General features: G+C 38.3%; 1 long non-coding RNA gene across 1 annotated transcript in view; it reads left to right on the top strand.

Moving 5' to 3' along the window:
- Positions 1-14,995: 14,995 nt before the first annotated feature.
- Positions 14,996-20,154, top strand: part of LOC124904518 (uncharacterized) — a 33,654-nt gene continuing 28,495 nt past the window's right edge. The window contains exon 1 of the long non-coding RNA XR_007066886.1: positions 14,996-15,085. This is a non-coding gene — a long non-coding RNA (uncharacterized LOC124904518). The remainder of the gene's footprint in view (positions 15,086-20,154) is intronic.

Below are 20,154 nucleotides of genomic sequence, written 5' to 3'. Positions count from 1 at the left end.
ATAGTATTCCGTGGTGTACATGTGCCACATTTTCTTAATCCAGTCTATCATTGATGGACATTTGGGTTGGTTACAAGTCTTTTCTATTGTGAATAGTGCCACAATAAACATACATGTGCATGTGTCTTTATAGCAGCATGATTTATAATCCTCTGGGTATATGTCCAGTAATGAGATGGCTGGGTCAAATGGTATTTCTAGTTCTAGATCCTCGAGGAATCACCACACTGTCTTCCACAATGGTTGAACTAATTTACACTCCCACCAACAGTATAAAAGTGTTCCTGTTTCTCCACATCCTCTCCAGCATCCATTGTTTCCTGACTTTTTAATGATTGCCATTCTAACTGGTGTGAGATGGTATCTCATTGTGGTTTTGATTTGCATTTCTCTGATGGCCAGTGATGATGAGCATTTTTTCATGTGTCTTTTGGCTGCATAAATGTCTTCTTTTGAGAAGTGCCTATCCTTTGCCCACTTTTTGATGAGGTTGTTTGATTTTTTCTTGTAAATTTTTTTAAGTTCTTTGTAGATTCTGGATATTAGCCCTTTGTCATTTGGGTAGATTGCAACTCAGGATTAAGAAACTCACTCAAAACCACTCAATTACATGGAAACTGAACAACCTGCTCCTGAATGACTACTGGGTACATAACGAAATGAAGGCAGAAATAAAGATGTTCTTTGAAACCAATGAGAACAAAGACACAACATACCAGAATCTCTGGGACACATTTAAAGCAGTGTGTAGAGGGAAATTTATAGCACTAAATGCCCACAAGAGAAAACAGGAAAGATCTAAAATTGACACTCTAACATCACAATTAAAACAACTAGAGAAGCAAGAGCAAGCACATTCAAAAGCTAGCAGAAGGCAAGAAATAACTAAGATCAAACCAGAACTGAAGGAGGGAGAGACACAAAAAACCCTTCAAAAAAAAATCAATGAATCCAGGAGCTGGTTTTTTTGAAAAGATCAACAAAATTGGAAAAGGTTCTTGAAGGAAATTGAAGTGCTACTCCAGTGAATACACAGATGATAAGAAAGTGAAACAACCTTGTTGCTGATATGGAGAAAGTTTTAGTGGTCTATAGAAGATGAAATCAGCCACAATATTCCCTTAAGCCGAAACCTACTCCAGAGCAAGGCTCTAACTTGCTTAAATTTTATGAAGGCTGAGAGAGAAGAAGTTGCAGAAGAAAAATGTGAAGCTATCAGAGGATGGTTTATGAAGTTTAAGGAAAGAAACCATCTTGATTACAAAAGTGCAAGGTAAAGCAACAAGTGCTGATGGGGACGGTGCTGCAAGTGTATTTCAGAAGGTCTAAATAAGATAATTGATGAAGGTGGCTACACTAAACAACAGATTTTTTTTTTTTCAATGTGGATGAAATAGCCTTATATTGGGAGACAATGACATCCTGGACTTTTATAACTAAAGAGGAGATGCCAATGCCTGGCCTCAAAGTTTCAAAGGATAGGATGACTCTCTTGTTAGGGGCTAATGCAGCCGATGACTTCTAATGAAGTCAGTGCTCATTTACCATTCAAAAAATCGCAGGACATTTAAGAATTATGCTACATCTACTATTCCTGTGTTCTCTAAATGGAACAACAAAGCCTAATGACAGTATATCTGTTTACAGTATGATTTACTGAATATTTTAAGCCTGCTGTTGAGACCTACTGCTCAGAAAAAAAGATTTCTTTCAAAATATTACTGCTCAACAATGCACCTCATCCCCCAAGAGCTCTGATGGAGATGTACAAGGAGATAAATATCGTTTTCATGCCCACTAACACAACATCCATTCTGCAGCCCATGGTCAAGGAGTAATTTTGACTTTCAAGTCTTATTATTTAAGAAATACGTTTTGTAAGGCTATCAGTGCCATAGATAATGATTCCTCTGATGCATCTGCCAAGTCAATTGAAAACATTCTGGAAAGGATTTACCATTCTAAATGCTATTAAGAACATTTTTTATTCATGGGCGGAGGTCAAATTATCAACATTAACAGGAGTTTGGAAGAAGCTGATTCCAACTGTCATGCACAAATTTGAGGAATTAAAAACTTCAGTGAATGAAGTAACTATAGACATGGTGGAAATAGCAAGAAAGCTAGAATCAGAAGTGGAGTCTGAAGATGTGACTGAATTGCTGCAATCTCATGGTAAAACTTGAATGAGAAGTTGCTTCTTATGGATGAGTAAAGAAAGTGGTTTCTTGAGATAGAATCTACTCCTGGTGAAGATGCTGTGAATATTGTTGAAATGACAACAAAAGATTTGAATATTATGTAAACTTAGCTGATAAAGCAGCAGCAGGGTTTGAGAGGATTGACTCCAATTGGAAAGAATTTCTACTGTAGATAAAATGCTCTCAATCAGCATTGTCAATCAGCATTGCATGCTACAGAGAAATCTTTAGTGAAGGGAAGAATGAGCCAATGTAGCAAACTTCATCATCTTCTTTTAAGAAATTGCTACAGTCACTCCAACCTTCATCAACCACCATCCTGATCAGTCAGTAACCATTGATATCAAGGCAAGACCCTCCACCAGCAAAGAAGATTATGACTCACTGAAGGCTCAGATGATTGTTTGCAATTTTTTAATCAAAAAAGTATTCTAAAAATTAAAGATATGTACTTTGTTTATATAATGCTATTAGATACTTAGTAGACTATAGTACAGTATAAATATAACTTTTATATGTGCTAGGAAACCAAAATGTTCACGTGACTTGCTTTATTGCAATATTTGCTTTATTGTGATGGTCTGGATATAATCTGCAATATCTCTGAGGTATGCCTGTATTGTTCTTATAACTTGAGAATTTAGTTCCTTTATAATTAATGTATTAGTATATATGGATTTATATGTACCATTTTATTTTGTGCTTTCTTCTTATCCCACTTTTTTTGGTCTCTCATCACCAGCCTTCCTTCTTGCCTTTCTTTAGATCAATTGAAATCTGTCTTTAAATCAATCTAGATATTTTTTCTTACTGTTTTTCCTTCTTTATATTTTGAAGTTACATATGCCATGCTATGTTTTTTTAATGGTTACTCTAGCCATTTTAAAATATATGCTTAACAGAATCTGAGCTTATCTTTACTTACCTTGTGATACACAAGACATTTTCATGCTGATAGCTTCCTATCAATATATTTGTTTTTCTAGCTCAGTACTTTAGTTTGGTTCCTATTTTGTTAACTTTTCACATTAGACCTTATTATTTTGTTTAATATAGTTAATTTTTAGGATAAACCACTTATTTACCAATATTTTTACTTACTATCCATTTTTACATCACATAGCTTCCATATAGATAGTTTGCCTTCTATCTGAAATACATCCTTTAACATTTATTTTACTGATGTTCTATTGGTTATAAATTCTCTAATTTTTTCTCTAAATGACTTAATTTTGTGCTTCTTGAAAAATCAGTCTTCCATGCATATGCATTTGGTTAGCAGTTATATTCTTTCAGTACTTTGAAGCTATTGATTTTTTAAATTGCAATTGACAAGTCTTATTAGTCTAATTGTTACTCTTTTGTAAGTGATCTGTCTTTTCTCTCAGGATGCTTTTATAAATTTTTTCCTCTAATGTTCTGAAGTTTTTTTTTATTGTAAATTTACAGAACTCTGGGAAAGTTAGACTTCCTGAATCTAAGAATTGATATCCTTTAACAGTCTTGGTCATTATCCATTTGAATGTTGCCTTCTACTCAGTATCTTCTGTATTCATGTCTTTGGAAGCTCCAATTAGACTTTAGTAGACTTTATCACTCAGTTCTTTATATATCTTCTTCATATTCTTCATCTTCTTTTCTCTCTGTTCTACATTATGAGGAATATTTTTCAATCTCTCTTCCAGTTCACCAATTCTGTCTTTAACTGTGAAAAATCTCAGATCTAGTCTATCTAATAGGTTTTTAGTAACAGATTAATATATTTTTATTTCTTGACACTTTTGGTTTCCTTTCAAATTTGCTTCATTGTTCTATATAGTATCTGTTTATTGCCCCTATTTTAAAAGGACCATTTAATTAAAAATATTAAACACAATTATTTTGTACTCTATGTCTAGTTATGCCCAATTAAAAAAGTTTTGGTAGTTTGACTGTGCTGATTATTTTTTCTGTTGGGTATCAACCCCGGGCCTTATTTCCTTGTGTGTTTTGACCATATGATATTTATCTTCTTTTGGAATTTCACCTGTGGCTATTTTTTGAGGCCTGGATTAGAGGTTATTCCTCAGGAGAAAAATTACAACTGCTTTAGACATATCCCTGCACTCCCTTCTCTCCCAGGGCACTTTGAATTAAATTTCACTAGAAGTTTTTTGAATAACATATAATGCATGACTTTGGATAGAAAGACATTAAGAAACTTTTTGTTTATAAATTCCTAGGTAAGACTTTTTTTTTCTTTTTCTACCCAATGCTAGTTTTAAAACAGATGTGTCTCTTATTTGCATGCCAACTTTATTGCTCATTAACCTTTACACTCAAGGATAACGCTTTGAAATTATGCCCCCTCTTTTTTGGCCCTCCCATTAAACTTCCCTCTTCATCAGCCTCTAGGCTTATATTCTATTCCCACTTCTCTCTCTATAGTTCTCCAAGCAGAAGCTCAAAGGCTCTATATTTTAGCAAAGATAGTAAGGACAAAAGATGACCCTACTGCTCACTTACCTCCTTATGTGTTTGCTCAATTTTTCTTACTAGTACTGTAAGCTTAGCAATGTGTTTCTAAAGTGCATTTTTATTGTTTTTATTGAGAGAATCATTTGAGGCATCTTATCTGCCATGCTGCCAGAAACAGACACTTCTAACTTCTCTGCCAGCATCATGAAGAGAGTGAAGGAAACATTATTATCTTAGTGATATTCCACTTAGAGTTTATCCTTCTGTTTTAGTCCATTTTGTATTGCTATAAAAGAATATCTGGAATGACACACACTGGGGCCTATCAGAGGGTAGAGGGTGGGAGGAGAGAGATCAGGAAAGATAACTATTAAGCCCAAGTATTAACTGGGCTTAATACCTGGGTGATAAAATAATCTGTTCAACAAACCCCCATGAGATAAGTTTACCTGTGTAACAAACCTTCACATGTACTCCGAACTTAAAAGTAACCAAAAAAAAAAAGAAAAGAAAAAGAAAAAGAGATTTATTTAGATCATGGTTTTGAAGGCTGAGAAATTCAAGGGCATGGCCCTGGCTTATGGCTCACTACATAGTGGAGAATGTGAAAAAGACATGTGAAGAGAGGGAAATCTGGGGGCCGTGGCAGCTTTGTAACAATCCACACTTGCAGGAACTAATCCTTGCTTGCGAGAGCTAATCCAGTCTTGGGAGATCGAGAACTCACTCACTACTGTGAGAAAAGCACTAGGCCATTCCTGAGGGATCTGCCATCATAACTCAAACGCCTCCCACTTGGCCCCATCTCCCACTACCACCACCATATGGTGCTCAAATTTCAACATGAGTTTTGGTGGAGACAGACAAATCATATCGAAGCCATAGCACCTTTTCCTAATCAGTTCTCCACACACTGCCAGGTCATATCTGTGAGGGGAGGCCCAGAATAATTCTTTTCAGCTGGTGAATAAATTGTAAAATTTCAATGGTTAAGCTCTTGACTAAATAATACTTTGTGATGACTTCCGTTTTCATTAAACTTTCTTCCTGTGTGATCTCTAGGCAAAACACGTTTGTCTGACATTTAGGAAACACTGAATGAATAAATAGAATGACTAACTACCTTTTAAAAAATTATATTTGTTTTTAGTTACATATTACACTTTAGTCATTTTAAATTAACAAATAGAAATTGTATGTATTTATGGTATCAACATGTTTTGATGTGTGGATACATTTTGGAATAATTAAATGAGGCTAATTAACATGTTCATCGCCTTAATACTTATCAATTTTGGGGGGTGAGAACAATTAAAATGTATTCCTTAAGGAATTTTTAAGTACCCACTACACTATCATTAGCTATAGTCACCATGCAGTACAGTATATCTCCAGAATATGTTCCTGCTATCCAACTAAAACTTTGTATCTTTTGACCAGCAAACATCTCCCATCCTGTCTCCACCTGCAACCCCTGGAAACCACCATTCTACCCTTTACTTCAATGAGTTTGACTTTTTCAACTTTTACAGATAAGTGAGATCATGCACCACTTTTCTTTCTGTGTCTGGCTTATTTCCTTCACTATCATGTCCTACTTGTCCATCCATGTTGTTGAAAATGGCAGAATTTCCTCCTTTTTAAAGGCTGAAGAGTATTTCATTTTGTATATATAGAGAACCAGATTATTTTTAATCCATTCAATTGTTGATGGACATTTAAGTTGATTCCATATGTTGGCTACTGTGAATAACATTGCAGTGAACATGGGAGTGCAGACATCTTTAACATACTGATTTCATTTCCTTTGGATCTATACAAAAAGGGGAATTGCTAGATCATATGATAGTTCTATTTAGAATTTTTTGATAGACCTGAATTCATACTGCTTTATGTAAGGGCTGTGCTAATTTGCAATCCCACCAACAATGTGTGAGGTTTTCTCTTTCTCCACATCCTTGCCAACACTTGTTATCTTTTGCCTTTTTGATGAAAGCTTTTCTAACAGATATGAGGTGACAAAACCACATCTTATTATGGTTTAACTTGCATTTCCCTGTTGATTAGTGGTATTGGGCATTTTTTTCATATACCTATTGGCCATTGTTATCTCTTTTTTTGAGCAATGTCTATTTAGGTCCTTTGCCCATTTTTAAGTTGGATTATTGTTTTCTTGCTATTGAGTTATTTGAACTCCTTATATATTTTGGATATTAGCCCCTTATCAGACATATAAATTGCAAATATTTTCTTCTATTCTATAAGCTATGTATTCGCTCTGTTGATTGTTTTCTTTGCTATGCAGAAGATTTTTAGTTTGGTGCTATTCCATTTGTCTATTTTCGCTTTTGTTGCTTGTGCTTTTGAGGTCATATCTAAGAAAATCTTTGCCAAGATCAGTGTCAAGAAACTTTTTAAAAGTAGAGAAAGAAATGCGAATTCCACTCCAAAGCTTCATTTGCCAAGTTTTCTTAGAATGACTTTTACCAATTTATGAATTATTGTAAACAGAATCTATAATGGAAATACTGAAAGACTTTTGCCTAAAGTGGCATTATTGAATGCTGCTGTGATGCTACTGTAATGTAATAAATTATTAAATTGTTGCAAAAAAAACCAAAAACAAACAAAACATTTTTTTCTAGTTACAACTACCTTTTAAAAAAGCAGTTTCAAGGTGTCAGGCAGTAGACATTTAACAGGTTGCAGGTTGCCAGAGAAGTCCAGAAAACACACACACACACACACACACACACACACGCACACACGCACGCACGCATATATATTTTGCTATAGGGATGTGATTGCTATTACAGAAGAAAATACTTCATAGTGCATCTAAGTATAGTTGAAATCTTAATGATTAAAACTTTTTCAAACTTCTCCCTTTCATTTCCACTTTTCTTTCCAAACATACTTTTCTCTAAGTGAGATTATCATAGCAGCCTCTTGATGGCTGCCAGTATGTTAGGTCTCCATTGTAATGAACAACATTGCCAAAAATTGCTCAGTGCTTTAACTCCCTACCACCTTATGAAAAGTTTTTGCCTCTACTTGGTACCCCTGGTAGCTTTTTGACTCTTACTTATCCCTATACTGTTTAACTGCTTGCTGTCTTGACATTCCTTTATTTGTGTAGCCCGGATCCTGGCCTTGGCTCTCTGTCCAGCGCCTTTGAGTAATGCCTATTCCATCTGTGGGTCTCTTTAGTCTCTGTGCATCATCCCTGAGTGTTGCTTTTTGTATTCCTGTCTGTGTTTTGAAAGGCCAGATCTTCCTCCAGCCTCGGTGGCTCAGCACTGGCCACCAGAACTAAGGCTGAATACATCTGCCTCCTTCCCTGTAGGATCTGGGTGATTCAGAAAAGGAGAGAGGACAGTTTGGGGAGATGAACACATTTGCCTTGTTCACTTCTCTCATTCTCATTCCTGTCTCTCCTTCTAGGAACAGCAGTCTTTCCTGGGATGTGCCAAGGGATTCCAGAATCTCAAAGCTGAGTTCCTTTCATTTCACCCTGCTGATAAAGCTTTAAAGACCCAACTAGAATTGAGGAAGCTCAAGCTTAAATAAACAGAGGATTATCTTGTCTCTACCCCCTGCCTTTTTTTTTTTTAAAGCTGGAAACCTTCTCTGACATTTTATGTCCTTATCTTAAATCTCTGAAGGTATTTTAAAAAGCTGTGCTCCATATTGACCCCTTGTGATAGACAGAGATTTTTTTTTCTATTCATGAATTCATCAAATGTTTATTGAATGCACAACACCCTGTAGGCACTGTTCTGAGAAGAAGAACAGTGTGAATAGAACCAAGAAAACAAGCAAACAAATAAACAATACCTTGGCTCTCCAGGAGCTCACATTCTTGTGAGACAGAAAAAAATCAATAAATACACCTATAAAGTGATTAATTATTAATTACGTATTAATTGTTAGTAATTATTAATTACTAATGATTGCTGTGAAGAATAGAGCAGGATAATGGGCTAGAGAGTGGTGAGTGTGCATTAGTGTGTGTGCATATTGGCATATAAAGTAGCTAGAGAAAGGGTCCCTCATAAGGTGACATTGGAGGGGAGATCTGAAATAGGTGAGGGACATTCAGATGGCCGGGGAGGAGTGTCCTTGGCAGAAGGAGCAGCAAGGCTGAAGGCCCGGGGAGGAAGTGTTTGGAGTAGAACAAGCAGGCCAGTGTGGCTGCATGTGGCAAGTAAGGGGGAGAGTGGGAGGACTGTGGTGACTGAGGTAGCAAAGGGTCAGATTGCCTGGGTCTGGAGGTCCAGGAAGCCTAGGGCCATTTGTTTCACAGGATTTACATAATTTTTATATTTAATTGATAGAAACATCTGTATACTGCCAGAACATTTTGACCTCATTGTACCCATCAGAGTTAGCTGAGAAGTTCATTGAAATAAAAAGTCATGGGCTTCACTCCATGTATTAACTAAAAATCTCCAGTGGACTTGGGAATCCATATTTTTAGCAAGCTCTTCAGGTGATTCTTAGGAAGGCACATCAGCACTGCTCTGTAGACTGGCATTTGAAGATCACTGCAGATGATGAGAGTTTAAAAATGGCCTTTTGAGAATACCAGCTTTAAATGAAATCCATTGCAGGGAATATAAATGTATCCACATTCTGCCCTTTTAGGTAATGGCTGTAATGATTTGTTGTGGGGCTTGGGTTGGTATAGTAGAAGAGGTATGTGGATCAGAAGAGCACTGGAGCAAGAAGCTCAAAGTTGTAAACCTTTGAGCTAAGCTTAAGGTTTAACGGCTTCTTCCCATGATGCCAGTGGACATTATGAACTTAACAAGGTATCACAAATCTCTCTGAGCCAGAGGGCCAACCATCTTCAACATATTACCAGGGCCCCTGGGAGGCCCTGGCTATAGGGAGCTTGCCAGCAATAAAATATTTGCCATTCGTCTTTCTCATCCATTGACGGAAACGAAACAGTGCAAAGTCCAATATAGCTTAAACCAAGATAACAAAATAGAGGAAGTGAATTGTTCCTGTAGTAGGTTGAATGGTAATTCCCAAAGAGGTATTTCTATGTCCTAACCCCTGGGGCCTGTGAGTAGGTCTCATTTGGAAAAAAGGCTCCTTACAGATGTAATTCAGTTAAGGATCTTGAGATGAGCTCATCCTGAATTATGCAGGTGGGCCCTAAATCCCATGACAAATGTGCTTATAAGATACAGAGAGGAGAAGGCACAGACACAGTGGAGGAGGCCAGGTGAAGAGTGAGGCAAAGATTACAGTGATGCAGCCACTGACCAAGGAATGCGTGGAGCTACCAGAAGCTGGAAGAGCCAAGGAAGGTGTCTCCCCTCGAGGCTTCTGAGGGAGCATGGCCCTGCTGACACCTTGATTTCAGACTCCTGGTCTCTAGAACCCTGAGAGAATACACTTCTGTTGTTTTAAGCCACCAAATTTGCAGTAATTTTTTATGGCAGTCACAGGAATCTAATACATTTTCCTCTACCTTCTAACGTTAATCTCATGGCAATAGTGGTACCTTTACCCTGGCCTGTTTCAACCTTGACACAATTGTGGTCATACATTTTTTCCTTTTGTCTTTGAGCAGTCAATATCTTTTTATATGCAATTTGAATTTGTAATGTTTTCCTTCTTATATATCCAGAGTTCTTTCTTCCAGTTTCTTTCTTAGGATTTTCTTTCTTGTTTCATTTTGTCCAAAGACATGCTTCTACTAGTTTATTTCTAGAAATATACCTTTTATCAATTTCCCTCGTGGTTTTACGCAGTGGCTAATGTCTCCCATAGAACCCTTAGGAAAGGGACTGGATTGCCTTTGACTATAGGGTTATGGTTCTTTCATCCCTGGAGGACTAGGGACTCCAATAGTTCTCTGAAGCCACCTACCTTTTCCTGGAAATATTGCCAAATTATCAGTGGAAGAACAGAAACATCTGCAGAAATGCAGATGGTGACAGTGTTTGGACTTGTTTGGGGCCTAGTTTGGCCATAGCTAGCACACACCTCTGTCCTAATTTCACAGACTGACATTCAAGGTGGCCAGGTTTGGGCTGCAGCCACTCTTCCAACTTTCCAGACTCCTCTCCTGCAGCTCCCCTCTGCGGGTGCCTTGGCTCCATTGCTTCTCATATCTAGACTACCCCTTCCCTCCTGTCTACTCACCAAAGTCCTATTTATCCTAAACAGCCCATTGCAAATCTCATTTTCTCTTGGGAGATGATCTTGACTTCCCTTGGATCCAGTGATCTCTTACTGCTCTGGACTGGCTCATAACTATACAAACTTGGTTGGCATTGATATGGTCCCTTGGGTTGTTAATGTCCTTCTCACTCTTGATAGACTGAACTTTAGAGGTCAGAGGCATACCTTGCCCTTTGTATCTCTCCTGCACCATCCCACATTTAGTTGGAGCTCCTCCTTGTGGATTGAGCCAACCCCTGCAATGACTCTTTTCTCTCCTGCTTGGAAAAGGGCTAATCATAAAGACAGATGGTAGCCCCACTTTCTAGTTGGATTACAAACCTTGGTGCTCTTCTGGGAATGCCTAATTGTTCTTCACGGGTAGTTAAAGCCTGCTTTATTTGTTTTAGCACTAAATAACATCTCTGATTTGTAGGAGTTCAGTCAGGCAGCCAGCCATCGGGTAGACTGGGTAACTGGCAGTGGCAGCTCTCTACCACAGCCTGGACCAACAGCAGCCCCATGGCCTAGACTTTCTTACCTGTCCTCCTGCCAGCAAGGGTTCTATGGGTGCACCTACAATGACAGCTGGGTACTGACCTTCCACCAGACTGGGTGCTGGGGAAATAGAAAACACCAACACATTGTCCTTGCCCTGGAAGGCTTTGTTGTGTTGTCAGTCTCAACCCAAAGATTCAGGCTGATTGCCCCTGGACCGTCCTCTGCTTGGGCAAGATTGTGGATGCTCCCTGTCAGGTGGGGGTGGGGTGGGACAGCATGGAGGCCTGGGTCACATCATGGCATGGGCTGCGGAGTTAGAGGGACTGACTTCCACACTAGCTATTTGACTTCTGTGATGTGGATGTTCCTTACCTGTAGAATATAGAATTATAATAGCTGCTTCCTGTAATGATGAGGAATAAATGAGATCATGGATTTAAAGCACTGGAAAGAAATGTAGTCAATGGCAAGCCTTCAATAAATGGCCACATCAAAATCATGGTGTTCTCACATCATAGCCTCTTGGTCTGTGCCTGCCCCTACTCCCATCTGTCTGGCCTTTTGTACATTTTGTCTGTTATTCTCTCTGACTCCCACCCTTCCCCACGGCTTGCCAGCTCAGATATTTGAACCCCTTCTCTCTTTCCCTCTCTCTCTCTCTCTCTTTTTTTTTTTAAGAGACAGAGTCTTGCTATGTTGCCCATGCTGGACTCAAACTTCTGGGTTCGAGGGATCCTCTCACATCAGCCTCCTGAGTAGGTGGTACTACAGGCACATGCCACTGTGCACAGCTCTTAACCCTGTTCTTACCTCTCATAGCTGCATGCTCTTGTCCTAACTTCCGCAACTACCTTTTTCAGTTGGCATTATCTTGGTGACCCCTGCTTCTCTTCTGTCCAGAGGCCTGTCATCAAAAGGAAATGGTGACGTCTTTCTTCCATTCCACTCCTTCAAGAGTCTTGCCATTATGAGAAAGGTGCATCCACTTTAAAGTGGGAGAGCTTTGACTTAGGGTTTGGATTCCTTGTCAATATTCAGCCATGTCATCTCACAGCATCCTTAGAAAGGGAACAATTTTGGTCCATTCTGCCCTAAAAAATTACAGCTTAATACAATTTCTTTAATGTGTGTGAGCCAGTGATAAAAGTTCTAATCTCTGCAAAGCATGAGAAGTGTTAATACAGCTTGGGAAAATACCCGCACATCCTCAATTTCCTGGCATAATTCTGTCCCTTGCCAGCGCAGAGCTTATCTCCAGAAGGCAGTGGGTGCCAGAATGACACTTTTTAGACCAAGAAATGGAATATATTTTTTCTTTGCCTGCAGTTTCCTTTCAGTATTTTGGGGAAGCAATGGGACTCTCAGAGGGGAGAAACTTGATTGGTTTGGCTATCTCCTCCTTCCATGTCCTTTCCTGCTTGCATTTCTTGCAGTTTTACTAGTCGTTGGCATCCTATAGGATTCTAATTTTGAGAGAAAAAAGGAAAATGCTTGAAAAGACCTTCCTAGAAGGAAACTAAACTATGTAGCTGGTGAGCTGGACTCTTTAGTACCCAATTATTATGGTCACTCTCTCCTTGTATGTCCTATTAGGTTACTTAATAGGACTTACCTATACACGGGTTCAGTAAGAGCAGGGGCCATGTCTTATTTATTTATGTGACCTCAGCACCTAGTCTATTTATTGGGGAGGCATGTTGAGAGAATGAATAAATGATTGAATTAGAAATAGGTCCAAGAACAAGCTCGTCTTTAGCTTTAATTGGCTTTCCCATGTAATTAGGTGTTTAGGTAGGTTTTTATTCACTTACTAGACAATCTTTGAGCATCTCCTGTGTGATAAACACTTTGCCAAATGCAGAGGAATCAAAGGTAAGACAAGGCCCTTGTCCTGGAAGAACTTGTTATGAATTCTCCTGCTTTCCTCAAAACTATTCCAGATCTGTAGTGTTTTCCTTTAAAATGTTTTTCTATTAAAAAAAAGAATTAAAAATTCAAAGTAATGTAAAAATCCATGTACCCTGGTAACATTTGGTCGTACAGTATATGCTTTAATTTCCTAAAAATAAAGTATTATCTATAATACCGAAGTTGCCTATGTTCTCCTTAGTCCAGTTTTTCTCCCTTCCAGATCAACTACTGTAATGAATTTGTGGTATATTCAGTTCACAATTTTTATGCTTTTATTACTTAGCAAGTGAGTATATAATAAATTATATCGGAGATAAATATTTTTGTAAATATTAAGCCAAGGTCTTTAATTTTCATCTTTTAAATCTTAAATACTTGAAGCTGGCTGTTGTATTCAGGGCTCACAGTTATTTCTTCTCAGCACTTTGAAAGGCTTACTGTGTTCTTTCCATCAGCCAGCCCCTGCCTTTCTTCAGTTACGGAAAATTCTCAGCCTGTGTCTTTTTGAATATTGCTTCTCACCACTCCTCATATTCTCTCCATCTGGAATTCACATCAGGTGTATTTTGAAAACTCTCATTCTAGTATCAAGGCTTATTAAGTTCCCCCTTTCCTTCACATTTTTATACTTTTATCTCTGTGTTTGATATACAGGACAAATTCCTTAGTTGTATCTTCAAATTCACTACATCTCTTTCTGACTGTATCCAGCCTAGAGTTTATACCATCTCTTGCACTTTAATTCTAATTACTACATTTTCGCAATTTCTGGATTTAAAAATTGGTTCTATTTTATACCCATTTGTTCTTGATTCATATCTCCCTCTTCAAATGTTTATTTTAAAATTATTTTGATATTGCTTTATTTTTTATTTAATTGGGCATGATTTTGTTTTCCAATTGATGAGTGAATTATTTTTCTTAATATTCATTTTCTTCATGTACTTTGGAATTATTGACTGTAGGGCTCATCTTGAGTAGGAGACTCTTTTTTTCTCTGCTTATTACTCTGCTTACTACTGCCTGTGGTGAAACTGGGCCTAGGGTCCAGATCTCAAAATATCCATCCTACCAAATGTTTACTCAGCACTAACAAATATCTGCAGGTGTTTTATTCCTTTCTGTGGTGTCTTTGGTTGATACATAACTAACATTTCCATTGATAACTCCTTCAAACATATAGCATAATAACACATTAAATTTTCTGAATGGAAGCCATCCCACCTACAGACTTGTAAACAGGTCATTTAGAAAGGATGAATAGCCCGAATTTTTAAAACATTTTTAAAAATTTTTAAAAAATCACAAAGCAAGAACTAACCGAGATGAGACAAAAGATTTATTGTTTGGCATACTTTAGGATTTAGAATCTGTTAATGTTGTTGTTGATGAGGTTGAAACTAACTTCCAAAACCAGGGTGAAAGAAGCAGGACATGTGGCCCAGGCTTAGGTATTTGACTCCTGGATAGAGGTTGCCCTGGCCAGCCTGGCCTTTCCTCTCCAGTTTCTTCACTATCAAGGCAACTCTCTGGCATTCATTTGGCCAGCTGTTTTTGTTGTTGTTGTTATGCGTTTTATGTTACTATGTTTACTCTAATGTTACTATATATTATGCCTTAAATACAGACTGTTTAGACTAAGGCAGATACATTAAGACTAAGGCAGATACATTAAACATAACATATAGGAACAAAGTATCATAGATTGGATAGCTTATAAAGCAAATGAAATTTATTTCCTACAGTTTTGAGTCTGGGAAGTCCAAGGTCAAGGTGCTGGCAGATTTGGTGTCCGATGAGGGCCTGTTTCCTTTGCAGATGGACCTCTTCTCAAGGTAACCACACATGGCAGCTAGCTTTCTGTGGTCTCTTTTTTTTTTTTTTTTTTTTGAGATGGAGTCTCACTCTGTCGCCCAGGCTGGAGTGCAGTGGTGCGATCTTGGCTCACTGCAAGCTCCGCCTCCCGGGTTCACACCATTCTCCTGCCTCAGCCTCCCGACTAGCTGGGACTACAGCCGCCCGCCACCAGGCCCTCTGTGGTCTCTTTTATAAGGGCACTAATCACAACCATGAGGTCATGAGGGCAGGGTCCCATGATCTAATCATCTCCCAAAGTCCCCAGCTCCTAATACCGTCACCTTGAGGGGTTAAGATTTCAACATATGAATTTTGAGAGTCACAGGCATTCAGTCCATAGCAGTATTACTTGCCCACAGTAAAATTCACCTATGTTAAATGTATATTTGATAAATTTTGGAATTGTGTGCATTTTTTTAACCAGCAGCAAAGTCAAGATATAGACTATCTCTCTCACTCTGAGAAGTTCTTTTGAGTCTGTTAGGAATTAATCCCTCTCTCCATGCCTGGCCCCAAGAAACCACTGACTTGCCTTCTGTTACTTGAGCTTTGCCTTTTCTAGAAATTCATATAAAAGGAATCATAGCTTACATAGTTTATTGTGTTTGCTTTATATCACTTAGCATAACGGTTTGGAGATTCTTCCATGTTGTTGTGTGTATTAATATTTTGTTCCTTTTTATTGTTGAAAAGTATTCTATAGTATAAATATACCACAACTTCAGATAATCTATTCTCCAGTGGAGAAACATTTAGGTTGCTTCCAATTTAGGGCAACTACAAACTATACTGCTATGAACATCAGCATATACATCTTTGAACACATGTTTTTATTTCTCTTCTGTGAATTCCTGGGTCATACGGTAAGTGTGTGTTAAGTGTATTAAGACACTGACATTTTGTTTTCCAAGTGGCCATAGCATTTTGCATTTCCACCAGCAATGTATGAAAACTCCAATTGTTCATATCCTTGCAAATATTTGGTATTATTAGTCTTTTTAACTTTAGCCACGCTAGTGGGTTGTGGAATGGTAATTTAGAGTGGTTTTAATTTTTGTTTTTCTGATTAGTGATGTTGAGCTTTCTTCATGTGCTTATTGGCTATTCATATATCTTCTTTGTAAAGTGTTCAAATCATATGTACATTTTAATGGGTTGCTTGTTTTCCTATTACAGAGTTGTAAAAGTTCTTTATGTATTCTGAATACAACTATTTAAAATTATGTCCTGTAAAAGTTTTCTCCTGGTCTGTAGATTGCCTTTTCATTTTTTAAACTCTGATTTGAAGAGCAAAAGGTTTTAAACTTGATGGAGTTCATTTTATCATTTTTTCATAGTTTATGTATTTGTCCTGGTTAAAAAATTTTGCTTAATCCAATGTCAAAGATCTTTTTCCTTTGTTTTATTCTAAAAGTTTAATAGTTTTAGCTATTGATTTTACAAACTTTAAAGGAGAAAATGAGAAAACAGTTTATACTCACAAGGATGGCTATAGTTGAAAAAATGCTAAATAACAAGCATTGGTGAGATATGGAAAAACTGGAACCCTCAGACATTGTTGATGGGAATGTAAAATAATCAGCTCTTATGGAAATAGCTTGGCAGCTCCTCAAGAAGTTAAACACAGAATTACCATATGACCTAGCAATTCCACCTCTAGATATATGCCCAAAGAAATGAAACCAGAGACTCAAACAGTTACTTGTGCACCAGTGTTCATTGCAGCATTATTCATAATAGCCAAAAGGTGGGAACAACCAAAGCGTCCATCAAACGATGAATGAACAAACAAAATGTGGTATATACATACAGTGTAACAGTATTCAGCAGTAAAAATGAAGTTCTGATGAATGCTCTTACGTGGATGAAGTTTAAAAACATTAACCAAATGAAATAATCCAGACACAAAAAGACAAATATTATATGATCCACTTATATGAGACACCTAGAATAGTCAAATTCATAGAAACAGAAAGTAGAGTAGAATTTATCAGGGGGTGGGGGGAGGAAGGAATGGGAAGTTATTACTTAATAGTTATAGAATTTATCTTTGGGGTGATAAAAAAAGTTAGGGGAATAGATGTTGATAAAGGTTACATGACATTGTGAATATAATTAATGCCACTGAATAGTATTCTTAAAAATGGTTAAAATGGCAAATTGTATGTTATGTATATTTTAGCACAACTGGAAAAAAAGTAATATACCAAACAACATGAGTTTAGTACAAATTAAATGGGTATACTTTTACAATTTGGTACTTTTAAATGGATGAATTATATGGTATGTGAATATATCTCAGCAAAGCTTTTCTTTCTTTTTTTTTTTCAAAGCAAACCTACCTGGGCTGCACTTTTAGACACAGAATGTATAAGCTGAGGGACAAGGTGGATCTCCTTGACCATTTACCAGGCACAACAAACTTGGGGAATTCTTCTTTCTCCAAGGCCCCTAGTTTAAGAGGAATGCTGTTAAGCTCAAGTGTGTTTGGGGGAGAGGGTCTTGGTAGAGTATCACATGACAAAGGTGAAAAGAACTAGAGATGGTTACCGTGGCTGGTAAGAGAAAGAGGAAGGGACACATGAGCTTTTCTTAAATGTCACATGGAAGAGGATTTAGAAAACTTATAGCAGACAGAGAACCAATGCACATGGGCGGGATTGTAAGGAGGCAGATTTCAATGTAATAAGAGAAAGAACACCCCTGAGAAGTGGAGGGAGGCACTAACCCTGTGGGGCAACAGGGGACGTTCTTGGAATTCCTACTAATCAGTCCACAGCTGAGCATGATTCTAGTCAGAGGTATGTCATATAGATAGAAGAGTAGAGTCTAGTCCTTCAGGGGCATTTGTTGAAAGCTGTGAGAGCCCCCATCAAACAGGCTAATGTATGGGACAGGGATCTGGTGAAGGAGGGAAACTAAGGTAGAATCCTACTTGCACTGGAGCAGCAGTGGTGGGGTTTAGAGGAAGACAGTGCCTGAAGTGTACTCCAGTCCCAGGAGGGACTTGGATTTTGCCATAAGTCACTCCTACCCTCACAATCCACCACTTATGAAGGAGGGGCTGCTAGGAAGGGATGATGGGTCTCATACCATCTTGTCCAACTAAATTTCCTTTTATTTACCAAAGATTCTTAGAAGATGCCCTCCCTCTGCCTTTATTCATGGCCTCAGGCAAATTACTTTCCCTTTCTGGGCCTTTCTTTCTTTCTTTCTGTAAATTTGGGCTATTATTTCTCATCACTGTTGCTTCATGCCTGATGTTCCAGACCTACCAAATGTGTTGTTGTCCTGGGTTTTTCTATTAGATTCTGACCTTGAGGTCAGAGATCGTAGCCTCTTCTTTGGGAGGTTACAGTGTCCAATACATGTCATGTTCATGGAAGCTCTCAGAATCACTGATAACCTCCAACAAGCTCATTTACTCCAAGGGAGAGGAGAAAGGTCTTTGACGTCACCCAATCCTACTAGTATTCTTGTGCCTTAGATTTCCTCATAAAGAAACATCAAGAGGCTGACTATCTTCAGCTTGAACACTTCCAGTGAGAGGAAGCCCAGTCCCTCCAGAGACAGATGTTTTATATTTGAAAGCACTGCATAAGCTTAAATAAGGACACCTCAGGTTGCAATTGCACTGATATTAGGATAACCATATCATTTCTCACTAAACAGGACATTCTGATAGCCAAAGGGGATACTACTAATAATTACAGTAGGACAACAGATGTAAACTAGGGCTGTTCCAGGAAAACTGGGATATACAGTTATTCTCACCATTAGAAAAGGGAAACTTTCCTATATTCAGCCAAAGAGTTTTTTCAGAGTCAGGAAACTTTTGAAGAGGGTGATCCTTAGCCCTGGATATCCTGGATTTTCTCTTTATGTTAGTGTGTGTGGTGGGGTGGGGGCATGAGGTACAGGAGTAATGGAAGACTGCAATTGGGGCAGGAACTGACAGCCCACAAGAATATTCCTCCCACAACCCCCAGAGCAACCAGGCAGACACCCCCATTTCCTATAATGAAAATAACCCCATCATGGTGCCCCCTTCTCTACTGTCATTGATGAAGGAGGTTCCTTCTGTAAACAGCCAATTCTGAGCTGCCCCACGGCAGCTGTATGTCACCAGCAGAGGGATAGACAGTGGAATTATTATATCCACACAGATCTCCCGAGAACATCTGTCTCCTCCTCTCTCCACCACAGCCTTCCAACTCCCCTTTCCGTAAATTCAGGGGCTTGCAGAAACATAGAACTTTCTAGGAGGGCTGAACAGTGTTGTATAGTGCTACTGCTTTTGCTAACGCTTCTTCAAGGAATTCTTGGTTTTACACTGTTTACACTTTTCCCCTGTCATTTTTCCTGTACCCTCCTGAGAGTTGGCCTGACAACTTTGGAGAATAGAGATTTTTCCAAAAGGAAACACCTTCTGTGCATTGCTTTCCCAGGGCTCCATCTGCTGTGTATTTACTCAGCCAGATGTGAAAGCCAAGTCCTCTTTCTGTCTCTCCCACTACCTGGGTCCTTTCAGAGTTTGGGGGTGGATGGGATGACACTCCCAAAAAGTCTTGGAAGACTTCTTTGTTGGTAGCATCAAACAAAGTTTCCTTGGGGAACTGAGAAGCTGCAGTGAGTTTACAAAGCATTCACATTACCTAATGTGGTGTGTCCCATGACCTGGAGTGAGCAGCAGGTGAAATGATATGGACCCAGCTGACAGACGAATAAGGTCACATGAGTTTTCTAGACAGCAGTATAGAAAAGTTCACAACTAGGATTTCAACCTCTGTCTTTTGACTCAAAGGCCACCACATCATACTAGTCTGTAAAATATTAATATCCTTTTCCATGTGTCTAGAAATTTGAAATCTCCCTAAAAGTCCTGAGTTGTAACAAAATTATACTTGTGTCCCATAAATTTATACACATAAAATAAATAAGTAGCTTTAAAAACAAAAACAAAACAAAAGAAATTGGCAATTTAAAATCTCTACATCTTTTATTCACAAATGCTCTGTGAAGCAGGCAGGGAGAACGCATATTATAT

This window comes from Homo sapiens, chromosome 1 (assembly GCF_000001405.40).
Source record: "Homo sapiens chromosome 1, GRCh38.p14 Primary Assembly".
Lineage (NCBI taxonomy): Eukaryota > Metazoa > Chordata > Mammalia > Primates > Hominidae > Homo > Homo sapiens.
This window is presented reverse-complemented; position numbering and strand designations above follow the sequence as displayed.